We start from the raw sequence: 16,226 nt of genomic DNA, 5'->3' as shown, positions 1-16,226 counted from the left end.
TTACATGTTATACAAAAATTAACCAAGATGGACTAAAGATTTCAACATAAGACCTAAAACCATAAAAACCCTAGAAGAAAACCTAGGCAATACCATTCAGGACATAGGCATTGGCAAAGACTTCATGACTAAAACACCAAAAGCAATGGCAACAAAAGCCAAAATTGACAAATGGGATCTAAATAAACTAAAGAGTTTAATTATACTGGATAAAGAAAATGTGGCACATATATACCATGGAATACAATGCAGCCATAAAAAAGGATGAGTTCATGTCCTTTGCAGGGACATGGATGAAGCTGGAAACCATCATTCTCAGCAAACTAACACAAGAACAGAAAACCACACACTGCATGTTCTCACTCATAAGTTGGAATTGAACAATGAGAACACATGGACACAGGGAGGGGAACATCACACACCGGGGCTTGTTGGGAGGTGGGGGCTAGGGGAGGGATAGCATTAGGAGAAATACCTAATGTAGATGATGGGTTGATGGATGCAGCAAACCACCGTGGCACGTGTATACCTATGTAACAAACCTGAACATTCTGTACATGTATCCCAGAACTTAAAGTATAAATAAAAGAAAAAAGAAAGGAATTGAAATCAGGATCTTGAAGAGACATTGGCACTTCCATGTTCATTGTAGCATTGTTCACAACAGCTAAGACACATATGTAAAATAAATGTCCATCAATGAAATATTATTCAGTCTTTAAAAAGAAGAAAATTCTGCCATTTGCAACAATACAGATGAGCCTCAAGGACATTATACTAAGTGAAATAAATCAGACACAAAAGGAGAAATACACAATCTCACTGATACAGGGAATCTAAAAGAGTCAAACTCATAGAAGCAGAGAGTAAAATTGTGGTTTTCAAGGACTGGAGGAGAGGGAAATGAAGAGATTTTGGTCAAAGGATACAAAGTTTTAGTTTTGCAAGGTGAGTAAATTATTTAGATCTATTGTACAGTATAGTCCCTATAGTTAACAATACTGTATTATATACTTTGAAATTTGCTAAGAAAGTAGATTTTACATTAAGCATTCTTATCACAAAATAATAATAATAAAATGGTAAAAGGAAACTTTGGAGGTGATAGATATGTTTATGGTATTGATTTTGGTGATGGTTTTATAGGTGTATACTGGTCTCTAGACTCATCAAGTTGTATGCATTACATATGTATAGATTTTTTGTATGACAATCACACTTTGATAAAGTGTTACTTTAAAAAAGAATTTGAGGTGACATAAAGTCTGTTTTACAAAATAAAAGCTGAGAAATTTGTCATTAGAAGACTGACTGATATGTAATGATATATTAATTTCTTCAGGCAGAAGGAAAACGGCACCAAATGCAAAACATGAGCTTACACATAAGAATAGAGAGCACTGGCTGGGCACAGTGGCTCACGCCTGTAATCCCAACACTTTGGGTGGCTGAGGCAGGCGGATTGCCTGAGCTCAGGAGTTCGCAACCAGCCTGGACAACACAGTGAAACTCCGTCTCTACTAAAATACAAAAAATTGGCCGGGTGTGGCGGTGTGTGACTGTAGTCCCAGCTACTCAGGAGGCTGAGGAAGGAGAACTGCTTGAACCCGGGAGGCGGAGATTGAAGTGAGCCGAGATCACCACTGCACTCCAGCCTGGGCAACAGAGTGAGACTCCATCTGAAAAAAAAAAAAAAAATAGAGGGCACTAAAAGTATTAAACATGATAAATGTAAAAGACTTTCTTATTTTGTTTTTTTAAAGGATGGTTGATTATTTGAAGTACACTATTGGGGTTTTGACATGTTTAAAAGTCTAAAATTTAACAAAAATAGCCCAAAAAGCAGGAGAGGAAAAGTATAAAGTATACTGCTTTAAGATTCATATGTTACAAATAAAGCAGTATGATATGATTTTAGGGTAGATTGCCATAAGTGAAAGATATCATAAACCCTAGTACAACACTAAAAAACAAAATGAAGCTAACAAGTCAGTAACAGACAAAATAAAATACTAAGAAGTACCAAATTAATTGAAAAAGACAGAAAAATAGGGAAAATGAACCAAGAACAAATGGGACAGTCAACAGATAACAAGGTAGTAGATTTAAACTCAAGCATACCAGTGTATACATATGGTATAAATGGTTTAAACATACTAATTAAAGGCAGGACTATTATACTGAACAAAAAGTCAAGATCCAACTGTATACAATCTTTAAGAAAATGAATTTAAATACAGGGTATACTTTGAAAATATTGTGGGTTTGGTTCCAGACCACCGCAATAAAGTTAATATCACAATAAAGTGAGTCACATAATTTTTTTGGTTTCCCAGCATATGTAAAAGTTATATTTGTACTCAAACCTGTAATCACAGTGACTTGAGGCAGGAGGATTACTTGAAGCCAAGAGTTTGAGATCAGCCTGGGCAACATAGTGAGACCCTATCTCTAAAAAGCATTTTAAAAACAGCCAGGCTTGGTAGTGTGCCTATAGACCCAGGTACTTGGGGGGCTGAGGTAGAAGGATTGCTGGAACCCAGAAGTTCAAGGTGAAGTGAGCCATGATCATGCTACTGCACTTTAGCCTTGGTAATAGAGTGAGACTCTAACTCTTTAAAAAAAAGTCATATTTACACTGTATTTTAGTCTATTATAGTATCTATAGCATGCAATTATATTAAATCTATTTTATACAATTATGTTATATTAAGTCTATATTATATATAGAGTACAATTGTATTATGTCTCAGACAATGTACATATCTTAATTTAAAATACTTCATTGGTAAAAAAAAAAAATGCTAATGATCCTCTGAGCATTCAGCCACTTGTAATCTTTTTGCTGGGAGAGAGTTGCCTAGATGTTATAGCTGGTCAAGGTGGTAGTTGCTGAAGATTAGAGTGACTGTGGCAATTTCTTAAAGTAAAACAGCAATGGGAGTTTGCTGCATTTACTGACTCTTTCTTTCATGAAAGATTTCTCTGTAGCATGTGATGCTGTTTGATAGCATTTTACCACAACAGAACTTTCAACATTTGAGTCAGTCCTCTCAAACCCTGCTGCTGCTTTATCAACTAAGTTTATACAATATTCTAAATCCTTTGTTGTCATTTCAACAATGTTCACAGCATCTTCACCAGGAGTCAATTCCATCTCAAGAAACCAATTTCTTTGCTTATCTGTAAGAAGCAACTCCTCATCTCTTCAGTCTTATCATGAAATTGGGGAAATTCAGTAACATCTTCAGGCTCCACTTTTAATTCTAGTTCTCATACAAAACCACTAAGAACTAGCAAGAGACCAGCCTGCAGACTCAAGGCAAGTATAGGAGAAGATAGATATGTTACCTTCGCCAGGATGTTACTTGAGTACCTGTCCACTTATCAGTGCTTATACTTGTGAAGTTCTTGCTTGGAAACTTCCACTGTCTTTATTAACTAGGTTATATTCTAAGAGCGAATAGGAAGGCATAGGGCAGATAAAGATGATTTGAATAATCACCAAAAGACATGAGAGACAGGCATAAGAGACTGGGAAAACAGAAAGATGAATTAGAAAGATTGCCATGCATATGAGTTTTTAGTGACACTAGTCTTTGCTATTGTACAGTCCTCTCCATAAGCACTTGGCTGCCTAGATGTTGAGGAAGGAAAGCTGACAACAAGATCCAAGGTCAGTGTTTTACCAAGCAGAGCAATGACAGGGCAGATAAAACTGTGGTCAGAGAGCAGGGATGTTAGAATCTAAAACTTTAGATATCTCTCTCTTCCAGATGTTGACAAGGTCCAGGGAAAAGTGTGAAGGAAAGCTGATGAGATGAGGTGAAGGCAAAGACCCTTGAAGATGAGGAAATTAAGGTTTGGAGTTTGCAAGAGGAACGCATCACTTACTGTGTGTAGTGTTTAGATGGCCGTGATTGCCAAAACTTGAATTTACATAGATTATATCAGCTAGGAATTATAGCACAACTACGAAGTAAGTACTTTTATTTCAATTTTCCAGTGAGGATGGAATCTTAGAAAGTTTGAGTAATTTGCATAAAGTTACACAAATGTTAACAGTAACAAAAACAAACATTTTGTAGCAATTTACTGTATGCCAGTTACTGTTCTAGGAGTTTTACATTGTAAGTGCTCATAAAATTATTGTTATTATCACCACGTTAGAGAAAGGCACAGAGAGTTTCAGTAACTTTCTAAGGCCACATGGCTAATTAGTGACAAGAGCCAGAACTTAAAGCAAGTATCAGAAATATGGTATGAATAAAAGTTGGTGTTACTTCAAAACCCATGTTTTAGCTACTCAGAAATAGCATCTATTTATTATTTTAAGGGTACATTTTATTCAAAAAACTATTAAAATCTCTTCCAAGAATACTAATAAAGATTTTAATCAGTACAAGATTAAAAGTTAGGCATAATTAAATGGATAAAATGAAACTAAAATTCAATTTATAAAAAATAAAACAACAGAACATTTGAAACTAACAGAGGAAGACGGAAGAAAAGTCAGAAATAGGAAGGAAAATGAGATAAATGTCAGAAGTCATTGGAGAGATCTCTTTGTTAATTTTTCCTACCCAGGAAATATAAACAAATTTTTCCTACTGAATTAAAGGTAAAATTTGGGTTTCTCATGAGCATGGTTGCATTTTTCTTCAGCTCACAACTGACATGCAATAAAGCTAAGTGTAGTTATTTTCATTACTATACACTGGAACTTCCAGGAAAGAGGGGATATGGCAGCCTCTTTGGTAATCAGCCATCATTCTTTTCCACAAGTCCACATATACCCACCTGTGAGAACTATCAGCTGGATACCAGCCTCTTCCATCTTCCTTTCTCCTCAATGGTTACTACCTTCTCCTTCACAACTACGTATAAAGATAAAAGTCAAAGTTAAATTTGGAAAATATACAAGAAAGTACTAACTAAGCATAAGAAAGCTGGAGTGACTTTGTTAATATCAGACAAAAGAGACTTCAGAACAAGAAATTTTACCACTGATAAAAGGGAAATTTCACAATCATCAAATAGTTTGTTAACCAGGATGGCATAGTAATCCGAAATGAGTACACACCTAATAACAGAACTGCAGAACATAGAAAACAAAAACTGATAAATCTGAGAGAGAAACAGACAAGTCCACAATTGTACCTAGTTATTTTACCATTCCTCTTAGTAACTGATAAAACAAGGAGACAGAATATTAGTCAGAATATACATGATTTAAATAGCACCATTAACCAACTTCATTTAACTGAAATAAATATAACTCTATACTCAGCAGTTGTAGAACACACATTCTTGTTACATGCACATGGAACATTTGTCAAGGTAAGTCATATGGTGGATTAGTTTAAAAGGATTGAAATCTCACAAACTTTTTCTGTTACTATAATGGAGTTAAATTAAAAATGAAAACCAGAAGGATATCTGGAAAATTCCCAAATATTTGGAAATTAACTACATAGTTCTATATAACCCATGGACTCAAAAAGAAATGAGACAAATTATAAAATATTTGAACTTAATGAAAATAAAAACAATATATTAAAGAAGGTATATAGCTGAAGCAGTATACAAAGTTAAATCTACAGATTTGAATTCCTATATAGAAAAAAAAGAGAAATATAAAATCAGTTATTCCAGTTTCAGTCTAAAGAAGGAAGAAAAGAAAGAGCAAATTAAAACCGAAGTAAGTAGAAAGAGGAAAACAATAAAGATAAGAATGCAAATAAGATAAAATAGAAAACAGCAAATAATAGAGAAAATCAGTAAAACCAAAAGCTGATTCTTTGAAAATCATCAATAAAATTACTAAACCTCTAGCTAAAATGATCAGGAAAAAAAGAAAGACATAATTTTTCAATATCAAGAGAGAAAGGGAGGATTACTAAAGATCATATAAACATTAAAGTGACAACAATAGAATATTGGAAATAAGTTCAACAACCAAGATGAAGTAGGTTTCTTAAAAGACACATTTTTCCAAAGTTTACTCAAGAAGAAATAGATAACCCTAATAGTTGTTTTTTGATTTTTTAATTTTTTTTTGGTTTGTATAACAATTTTTTTTTTCTTTTTTTCAGATTTTTTTTTTATTATTTTACTTTAAGTTCTGGAATACATGTTCAGAACATGCAGGTTTGTTACATAGGTATACGTGTGCCATCGTGTTTTGCTTCACCCATCAACCCATCATCTAGGTTTTAAGCCCCGCATGCATTAGGTATTTTTCCTAATGCTATCCCTCTCCTTTCCTCCCAACCCCCAACAGACCCCAGTGTGTGATTTTCCCCTCCCTATGTCCACGTGTTCTCACTGTTAAACTTCCACTTATGAGTGAGAACATATGGTATTTGGTTTTTTGTTCCTGTGTTAATTTACTAAGAATGCTTAATCCATGCCCCTGCAAAGGACATAAACTCACTCTTTTTTTATGGCTGCATAGTATTCCATGGTGTACATGTGCCACATTTTCTTTATCCAGTCTATCATTGATGGGCATTTGGGTTGGTTCCAAGTCTTTGCTATTGTGAATAGTGCCACAATAAACATATGTGTGCATGTGTCTTTATAGTAAAATGATTTATAATCCTTTCAGTATATACCCAGTAATGGGATCGCTGGGTCAAATGGTATTTCTGGTTCTAGATCCTTGAGGACTCGCCATCTGGTCTTCCACGATAGTTGAACTAATTTACACTTCCACCAACAGTGTAAAAGCATTCCTATTTGTCCACATCCTCTCCAGCATCTGTTGTTTCCAGACTTTTTAATGATTGCCATTCTAACTGGTGTGAGGTGGTATCTCATTGTGGTTTTGATTTGCATTTCTCTAATGTCCAGTGGTGATGAGCTTTTTTTCATGTTTGTTGGCCACATAAATGTCTTCTTTTGAGAAGTGTCTCTTCATATCCTTTGCCCACTTTTTGATGGGGTTGTTTGATTTTTCTTGTAACTTTGTTTAAGTTCCTTGCAGATTCTGGATATTAGCCCTTTGTCGATAGATAGATGGCAAAAATTGTCTCCCATTCTGTAGGTTGCCTGTTCACTCTGATGATAGTTTCTTTCACTTTGCAGAAGCTCTTTAGTTTAATTCGATCCCATTTGTCTATTTTAGCTCTTGTTGCCATTGCTTTTGGTGTTCTAGTCATGAAGTCCTTGCCCATGCCTATGTCCTGAATGGTATTGCCTAGGTTTTCTTCTAGGGTTTTTATGGTTTTAGGTCTTAAGTTTAAGTCTTTAATTCATCTTGAGTTAATTTTTGTATAAGGTGTAAGGAAGGGGTCCAGTTTCTGTTTTCTGCATATGATTAGCCAGTTTTCCCATCACCATTTATTAAATAGGGAATCCTTTCCCCATTGCTTGTTTGTGTCAGGTTTGTGGAAGATCAAATGGTTATAGATGTGTGGTGTTATTTCTGAGGCCTGTGTTCTGTTCCACTGGTCTATATATCTGTTTTGGTACAAGTACCATGCTGTATTTGTTACTGTAGACTTCTAGTGTAGTTTGAAGTCAGGTAGCGTGATGCCTCCAGCTTTGTTCTATTTGCTAGGATTGTCTTGGCTATACAGGTTCCTTTTTGGTACCATATAAAATTTTAAGTAGTATTTTCTAATTCTGTGAAGGAAGTCAATGGTAGCTTGAGGGAAATAGCATTGAATCTATAAATTACTTTGGGCAGGTTGACCATTTTCATGATACTGATTCTTCCTATCCATGAGCATGAAATGTTTTTCCATTTGTTTGTGTCCTCTCTTATTTCCTTGAGCAGTGGTTTTAGTTCTCCTGGAAAAGGTCCTTCACATCCCTTGTAAGTTGTAATCCTAGGTATTTTATTCTCTTTGTAGCAATTGTGAATGTGAGTTCACTCATGATTTGGTTCTCTGCTTGTCTATTATTGGTGTATAGGAATGCCTGTAATTTTTGCACATTGATTTTTTATCCTGAGACTTTGCTGAAGTTGCTTATCAGCTTAAGGAGTTTTTGAGCTAAGACGATGGAGTTTTCTAAATATAGAATCATGTCATCTGCAAACAGAGGCAATTTGACTTCTTCTCTTCCTATTTGAAAACCTTTTATTTCTTTCTCTTTCCTGATTGCCCTGGCCAGAACTTCCAATACTATGTTTAATAGGACTGGTAAGAGAGGGCATCCCTGTCATGTGCCAGTTTTCAAAGGGAATGCTTCCAGCTTCTGTCCATTCAGTATTATATAGCCTATGGGTTTGTCATAAATAGCTCTTATTATTCTGAGATATGTCCCATCAATACCTAGTTTATTGAAAGTTTTTAGCATGAAGGGCTGTTGAATTTTATTGAAGACATTTTCTGCATCTATTGAGATAACCATGTGGTTTTGTCATTGGTTCTGTTTATGTGATGGATTACATATATTGATTCGTGTATGTTGAACCAGCCTTGCATCCCAGGGGTGAAGCCAAATTGATCGTGGTGGATAAGCTTTTTGATGTGCGGCTGGATTCATTTTGCCAGTATTTTACTGAGGATTTTTGCATTGGTGTTCATCAGGGATATTGGCCTGAAATTTTCTTTTTTTTTTTTTTGTTGTGCCTCTGCCAGGTTTTGGTATCAGGATGATGCTGGCCTCACAAAATGTGTCAGGGAGGATTCCCTCTTTTTCTATTTTTTGAATAGTTTCAGAAGGAATGGTACCAGCTCCTCTTTTTACCTCTGGTAGAATTCAGCTGTGAATCCATCTGTCCCTGGGCTTTTATTTGCTTGGTAGGCTATTAATCACTGCCTCAATTTCAGAAATTGTCATTGGTTTATTCAGGGATTCAACTTCTTCCTGGTTTAGTCTTGGGAGAGTGTATGTTTCCAGGAATTTATCCATTTCTTTTAGATTTTCTAGTTTATTTGTGTAGAGGTGTTTACAGTATTCTCTGATGGTTGTTTTTATTTCTGTGGAATCAGTGGTGATATCCCCTTTATCATTTTTTATTGTGCCTATTTGATTCTTCTCACTTTCTTCTTTATTAGTCTGGCTAGCAGTCTATGTATTTTGTTAATCTTTTCAAAAAACCACCTCCTGGATTCATTGATTTTTTGAAGGGATTTTTGTGTCTTCATTTCCTTCAGTTCTGCTCTGATCTTAGTTATTTCTGGTCTTCTGCTAGCTTTTGAATTTGTTTTATCTTGCTTCTCTAGTTTTTTTTAATTGTGATGTCCAGGTGTCGATTTCAGATCTTTCCTGCTTTCTCTTGTGGACATGTACTGCTATAAATTTCCCTCTTAACACTTCTTTAGCTGTGTCCCAGAGATTCTGGTACATTGTGTTTTTGTTCTTATTGGTTTCAAAGAAGTTATTTATCTCTGCCTTAATTTTGTTATTTACCCAGTAGTCATTCAGGAGCAGATTGTTCACTTTCCATGTAGTTGTGTGGTTTTGAGTGAGTTTCTTAATCCTGAATTCTAATTTGATTGCACTGTGGTCTGAGAGACTGTTTGTTATGATTTCCACTCTTTTGCATTTGCTTGAGGAGTGTTTTACTTCCAATTATGTGTTTGATTTTTAGAATAAGTGCATGCAGTTCTGAGAAGAATGTATATTTTGTTGATTTGTGGCGGAGAGTTCTGTAGATGTCTGTTAGGTCCACTTTGTCCACAGCTGAGTTCAAGTACTGAATATCTTTGTAAATTTTCTGTCTGGTTAATCCACTGTTATTTTGTGGGAGTCTAAGCCTCTTTGTGGGTCTCTAAGAACTTGTTTTATGAATCTGGTTGTTCCTGTATTGGGTGCATATATATTTAGGATAGTTAGCTCTTCTTGTTGCATTGATCCCTTTACCATTATGTAATGTTCTTCTTGTCTTTTTTTATCTTTGTTAGTTTACAGTCTATTTTATCAGAAACTAGGATTGCAACCCTTCCTCTTTTTTGCTTTCCGTTTGCTTGGTAAATATTCCTCCATCCCTTTATTTTGAGCCTATATGTGTCTTTGTACATGAGATGGGTCTCCTGAATACAGCACACTGATGGGTTTTGTCTCTTTGTCCAATTTGCCAGCCTGTGTTTTTTAATTGGGGCATTTAGCCATTTTACATTTAAGGTTAATATTGTTACGTGTGAATTTGATCCTGTCATTATGATGCTAGCTGGTTATTTTGCCCATTAGTTGATGCAGCTTCTTTATAGTGTTGATGATCTTTACAATTTGGTATGTTTTTGCAGTGGCTGGTGCTGGTTTTTCCTTTCCATATTTAGTGCTGCCTTCAGGAACTCTTGTAAGTCAGGCCTGGTGGTGACAAAATTCCTCAGCATTTGCTTATCAGGAAAGGATTTTATTTCTCCTTCACTTATGAAGCTTAGTTTGGCTGGATATGAAATTCTGGGTTGAAAATTCTTTTCTTTAAGAATGTTGAATATTGGCCCCCACTCTCTTCTGTCTTGTAGGGTTTCTGCAGTGAGATCCACTGTTAGGCTAATGGGCTTCCCTTTGTAGGTAACCTGACCTTTCTCACTGGCTGTCCTTAACATTTCTTCCTTTGTTTCAACCTTGGAGAATCTGACAATTGTGTGTGTTGGGGTTTTACTTCTCAAGGAGTATCTTAGTGATGTTCTGTGTATTTCTTGAATTCGAATGTTGGCCTGTCTTGCTAGGTTGGGGAAGTTCCCCTGGATAATATCCTGAAGTGTGTTTTCCATCTTGGTTCCATTCTCCCTGTCACTTTCAGGTACACCAATTATATGTTTGGTCTTTTCACATATTCCCATATTTCTTGGAGGCTCTGTTCATTCCTTTTCATTCTTTTTTCTCTGATATTGTCTTCATGCCTTATTTCACTAAGTTGATCTTCAGTCTCTGATATCTTTTCTTCCACTTGATCAATTTAGTTAATAATATTTGTGTATGCTTCATGAAGTTCTCGTGCTGTGTTTTTCAGCTCCATCAGGTCATTTATGTTCTTCTCCAAACTGATTATTCTAGTTAGCAGTTCCTGTACCTTTTATCAAGGTTCTTACCTTCCTTGCATTGAGTTGGAACATGCTCCTTTAGCTCAGAGGAGTTTGTTATTACCCACCTCCTGAAGCCTACTTCCGTCAATTTGTCAAACTTATTCTCTGTCCAGTTTTGTGCCCTTGATGTAGAGGAGTTGTGGCCATTTGGAGGAGAAGTGGCATTCCAGTTTTTGGAATTTCTAACATTTTTGTGCTGGTTTTTCCTTATCTTCATGGATTTATCTACCTTTGATCTTTGAGGCTGATGACCTTTGGATGGAGTTTTTGTGTGTGGGTTCTTTTTGTTGATGTTGATGTTGTTGCTATCTGTTTGTTAGTTTTTCTTCTAACAGTCAGGCCCCTCTTCGGCAGATCTGCTGCAGTTTTCTGGAGGTTCACTCCAGACCCTATTTGCCTGGGTATCACCAGCGGAAGCTGCAGAACATCAATGGTTGCTGCCTGCTCCTTCCTCTGGAAGCTTCATCCCAGAGGGGCACCAGCCTGATGCTACCCAGAGCTCTCCTGTATGAGGTGTCTGTTGACCCCTGCTAGGAATTGTGTCCCAGTCAGGAGGCACAGGGGTCAGGGACCAACTTGAGGAGGCAGTCTGTCCCTTAGCAGAACTTGAGAATCCTCCTGTCAGGATCCATTACCCTCTTCAGAGTTGGTAAGCATCAATGTTTAAGTCTGCTGAACCTGCGCCCACAGCTGCCCCTTCCCCCAGGTGCTCTGTCCCAGGGAGATGGGAAGGGCTGCTGCCTCTGTTTCAGAGATGCCCTGCCCAGTGAGGAGGAATCTAGAGAGGCAGTCTGGCCACAGCTGCTTTGCCGAGCTGTGGTGAGTACTGCCCAGTCCAAACTTCCTAGCCTCCTTAGCTCTGTCAGGGGTAACTCCCTACTCAAATCTCAGTAGTGGAGGGCACCCCTCCCACCACCAAGCTCCATCCCATTCAGACTGCTGTGCTGTCAGTGAGAATTTCACGTCAGTGGTTCTTAGCTTGCTGGCCCTGTGGGAGTGGGACCCGCTGAGTGAGACCACTTGGCTCCCTGGCTTCAGCCCCCTTTCCAGGGGAGTGAATAATTCTGTTTCCCTGAGGTTCCAGGCACCACTGGGGTACAAAATAAAATCCTGCAGCTAGCTCGGTGTCTGCCCAAACAGCTGCCCAGTTTTTGCTTGAAACCCAGGGCCCTGGTGGTGTAGGCACACGAGGGAATCTCCTGGTCTGCAGATTGAAAAAACCATGGGAAAAGTGTAGTATCTGGGCCAGATAGCACAGTCCGTCATGGCATCCCTTGGCTGGGGGAGGGTGGTCCCCCACTCCTTGTACTTCCCAGGTGAGGGACACCCCGCCCTGCTTCTGCTCGCCCTTCGTGGGCTGCACCCACTGCCTAACCAGTCCCAATGAGATGAAATGGGTACCTCAATTGGAAATGCAGAAATCAACCACCTTCTGTGTTGGTCTCTCTGGGAGCTGCAGACCGGAGCTGTTCCTATTCAGTCATCTTGCCCATCCTCTAATAGTTCTTTATTAGAGAATCTGAGTTTCTACCTTAAAACTTTCCATAAAAACAAAATAAGCTCCAAGCCTATATTGCTTAATTGTTGAATTCCATCAAACATTTGGAGAAAAAATAATGCCAATCCTACACAAACTCATTAAGAAAACAGAAAAGGAAGGAACACTTTCTAACCAATATAACAAGTCATCATTAACTGAAACCAAAATCAGTTACAGACATTCCAGGAAAAGATAACGGCACACAAATATCTCCCATGAAAATAATTCCCCAAAAACCATGAATAGAATAGTAACTAAAATAATACAGAAAATATATAAAAATAATTGCATATCATGACCAAATGGGTTTTATCCTAGGAACACAAGGTTAGTTAACATCAGAAAAACAATCAATATAGTTCATATTGAAATAATAAAATAGGCCAGGCGCGATGGCTCACGCCTGTAATCCCAGCACTTTGGGAGGCCAAGGCGGGCAGATCACGAGGTCACGAGATCGAGACCATCCTGGCTAACATTGGTGAAACCCCGTCTCTACTAAAAAAAATACAAAAAATTAGCCAGGTGTGGTGGTGGGCACCTGTAGTCCCAGCTACTTGGGAGGCTGAGGCAGGAGAATGGCGTGAGCCCGGGAGGCGGAGCTTGCAGTGAGCGGAGATCATGCCACTGCACTCCAGCCTGGGTGACAGAGCGAGACTCCATCTCAAAAAAAAAAAAAAAAAAAAGAAATAATAAAATAGATCATATGATCATCTCAATAAATGGAAAAAAAGCATTTGACAAAATTCAACACCAATTCATGATTTTAAAAAACTCTCAGAAAACTAGGAATAAAAAAAGAATCCTCAACTTGATAAGGAACACCTACAAAGCACATATCAATAACTTTATCCTTAACAGTGAAAGACTGAAGCTTGTTGCCTTAACAGGAGCAAGACAAGAGAGTCCTCTTCCTTTTAATGCTGTCCTGCAGGTTCTACCCAATACAAGGAAAAGAAATAAAAGACATACAGATTATAAGTGAAAACTGCTTTTATTTACAGACATATTTTTTTTAGGTAGGAAGTTCTAAAGTGTCAACAAAATAACATACCAGAGCTAGTAAACACTTTCAATAAGTTGCAGAATATACTAGGCCAATACGCAAAATTCAATTATTTATATAAGTTGCAATGAACAATTAAAAACTAAAACATGAAAAACAATACCATTAATAACAGCACGCAAAAACCTGAAGTACTTAGGAATAAATTTAACAAAGTACATGCAAGAACTGTACACTAATACCTGTTTAGATAAATAAGACACTTAATAATACACTTTTAAATTCATTTTTTGTTAAGAATACTAAATACTATTTATTTGACAATTATCTCCAAATTGATCTATAGTTATTTTGTTCAGTATGGTATCCATGAGCCACATGAGGCTACTAAACACTTGATATGTGGCTAGTCTGAATCTTAATTCAGACTAAGGTGACTAAGGTGTGCTGTAAGTGTAAAAACACACCAGATTTCAATGACTTAGTACAAAAAAAGAATAAAATATCATATCAATGTTTTTATATTGATTACAGGTTGATGTTTTCATATATTGGGGTAAATAAAATAATTATTAACATTAATTTCATGGTTTTTTTTCTTTTTAATGTGTCTACCAGAAATATTTAAATTACATGTGCTTACATATTTTGACATGCATTACGTTCCCATTAGTCATCATTTATCTATAAGTTTAATGCAATTCCAATCAAAACTGCCACAGGGCTTTGCTAAATCTTGACAAACTATAAAATTTATGTGAAAATGGTAAGAACCAAAAATAGCCAAAAGAATTTTTAAAAAGAACAATGTTGAAGGACTTATACTCCCTTATTTAAAGATTTATTATAATGCTACAGTAATCAAGACAGTGTGGTATATGGCCAAGAGATCAATGGAACAGAATGGAGAATCCAGAAATTGACCTACACACGTATCCTCGATTTTTAACAAGATATGATAGTAATTCAATAAAGAAAAGATACACTTTTCAATAAATAGTGTTATAACAACTAGATAGCCACATGGAGAACAAATGAACCATTACCTTTGTCTCATGCCATACGGAAACGTTAATTTGAAAGAGTTCAGAGAACTGTTAAACAAAGTGGAAGAGAAGCCATTGTTTAGGGCTGAGGCTGTGCTCTAGGCCCCAAAAGACCAGACAGAACCAGAATGGAATCGCTCCTGTTAGGTGCCACATAATGAAACTGAACTTCAAAATGAGCCAGTATTCAAAAAACCAGGAGATTCACAGCAACCAATCAGAAAGGGCCTGGTTTACCTAACTAAGGGATCTCTGTTTTAATCCTATAAGGAAAGCAATTTCGAAATAACCAATCTGCTTTTTGTTCCTTATTTCTGCATTCAGCTCCTTATTCTCTACTTTCTTCAGGAAAGCCTAATTCATCAATCACTGATGGAGGTCCCTTTTCCTCCATCTTGTTCTTAACTTTCCCATGAAAATATTTTCTCTCACTTTGAGATTTTAGTTCATCTCCCAATATAGCAACAATATTAAAATAGTCAAGTTTTGGAGATCCAAAAAATTAGGAAACAATTTGAACACAATGGAATAAACCTCAGAAGTTTATGCTCATTAACCATTGTAGAATAATTTTGCTATAAAGAAGAAAGAAAAAAATTTCCTTCAGAGTTCCAAATTATTGATGGGTATCTATGATGGAATAGTTGCTTTTTTTGTTTGTTTTGTTTTTGTTTGTTTGTTTGAGATGGAGTCTCTCTCTGTTGCCTAATCTGGAGTGCACCGGCGCGATATCAGCTCATTGAAACATCTGCCTCCCAGGTTCAAGTGATTCTCCTGCCTCAACCTCCCAAGTAGCTGGGATTACAGGTGCCGGCCACCACACCTAATTTTTGTATTTTTAGTAGAGACAGGGTTTTGCCATGTTGCCCAGGCTGGTCTTGAACTCCTAATCTCAGGTGATCTGCCCATCTCGGCCTCCCAAAGTGCTGGGATTACACGCGTGAGCCACGGCATCCAGTCTGAAAAGTTGCTTTTATAAGATAGTCTGATAAATAATTTCCTGCCTGCCAAGTGCTGTAGCCTACATACTAGATGGAAGATCTTTATGAAAAAAATGAAAAGTATATCTCTAAGACAAATTATTATAGTGATTGTCTTTTTTTCCACAAGAGAAAATAAAGTTGTAGAACCTCAAGTCATAAATACATGAATCACAGCTTGTGAGTTTTGTAACATTTTATCAACTGTAAAAGAAGTCTGGTGAAGGTAAAAACGTGCATTTTTGGTTACTCTTTTATGCTATCCTCAAACTATTATTTGTCAGTAGCCAAACAAAACTATTCATGCTAACTGGAGGTGAGAAAGTTCAACTTGTTTACCAAGAGAGAAATACTTTGTTGCTTATGTTTTCCACCTTGAAGCAAACTGATACGGCTTAAAAGAGGAAACTCACTCATGCTAGGAATATGATAGAAGGAATTATCCTTAGGATTAACCTTCCTTCTTGACATAGGCATAAAGAATAAAATTTTCAAAATGCATTCTTTTGCTTTGCATGCTAGCAGTTCACATTTTAATACATTTAGCAAATAAAGAATAGTCCAAAATCTTCAAACTGTGCTAATAGATAAATACAAAAACAAAATCAAAAACATGTGTGTTCTTGTCATTTGTTTTTGCTTATAGGTCTGCAAGCTTCAAAAGTC

At 36.8% G+C, this 16,226-nt stretch overlaps 1 long non-coding RNA gene across 2 annotated transcripts in view; it reads right to left on the bottom strand.

Annotated features, from left to right (window-relative positions):
* Positions 1-1,641: 1,641 nt before the first annotated feature.
* The window catches only part of LOC105379066 (uncharacterized), a 70,191-nt gene continuing 55,606 nt past the window's right edge, over positions 1,642-16,226 (bottom strand). For both annotated transcript variants that reach the window (XR_948543.1, XR_948542.2), the window contains 2 exons: positions 4,801-4,877; positions 1,642-1,679 (listed from right to left, as the gene is read on the bottom strand). This is a non-coding gene — a long non-coding RNA (uncharacterized LOC105379066). The remainder of the gene's footprint in view (positions 1,680-4,800; positions 4,878-16,226) is intronic.

Source organism: Homo sapiens, chromosome 5 (genome assembly GCF_000001405.40).
Source record: "Homo sapiens chromosome 5, GRCh38.p14 Primary Assembly".
Classification (NCBI taxonomy): Eukaryota; Metazoa; Chordata; class Mammalia; order Primates; family Hominidae; genus Homo; species Homo sapiens.
This window is presented reverse-complemented; position numbering and strand designations above follow the sequence as displayed.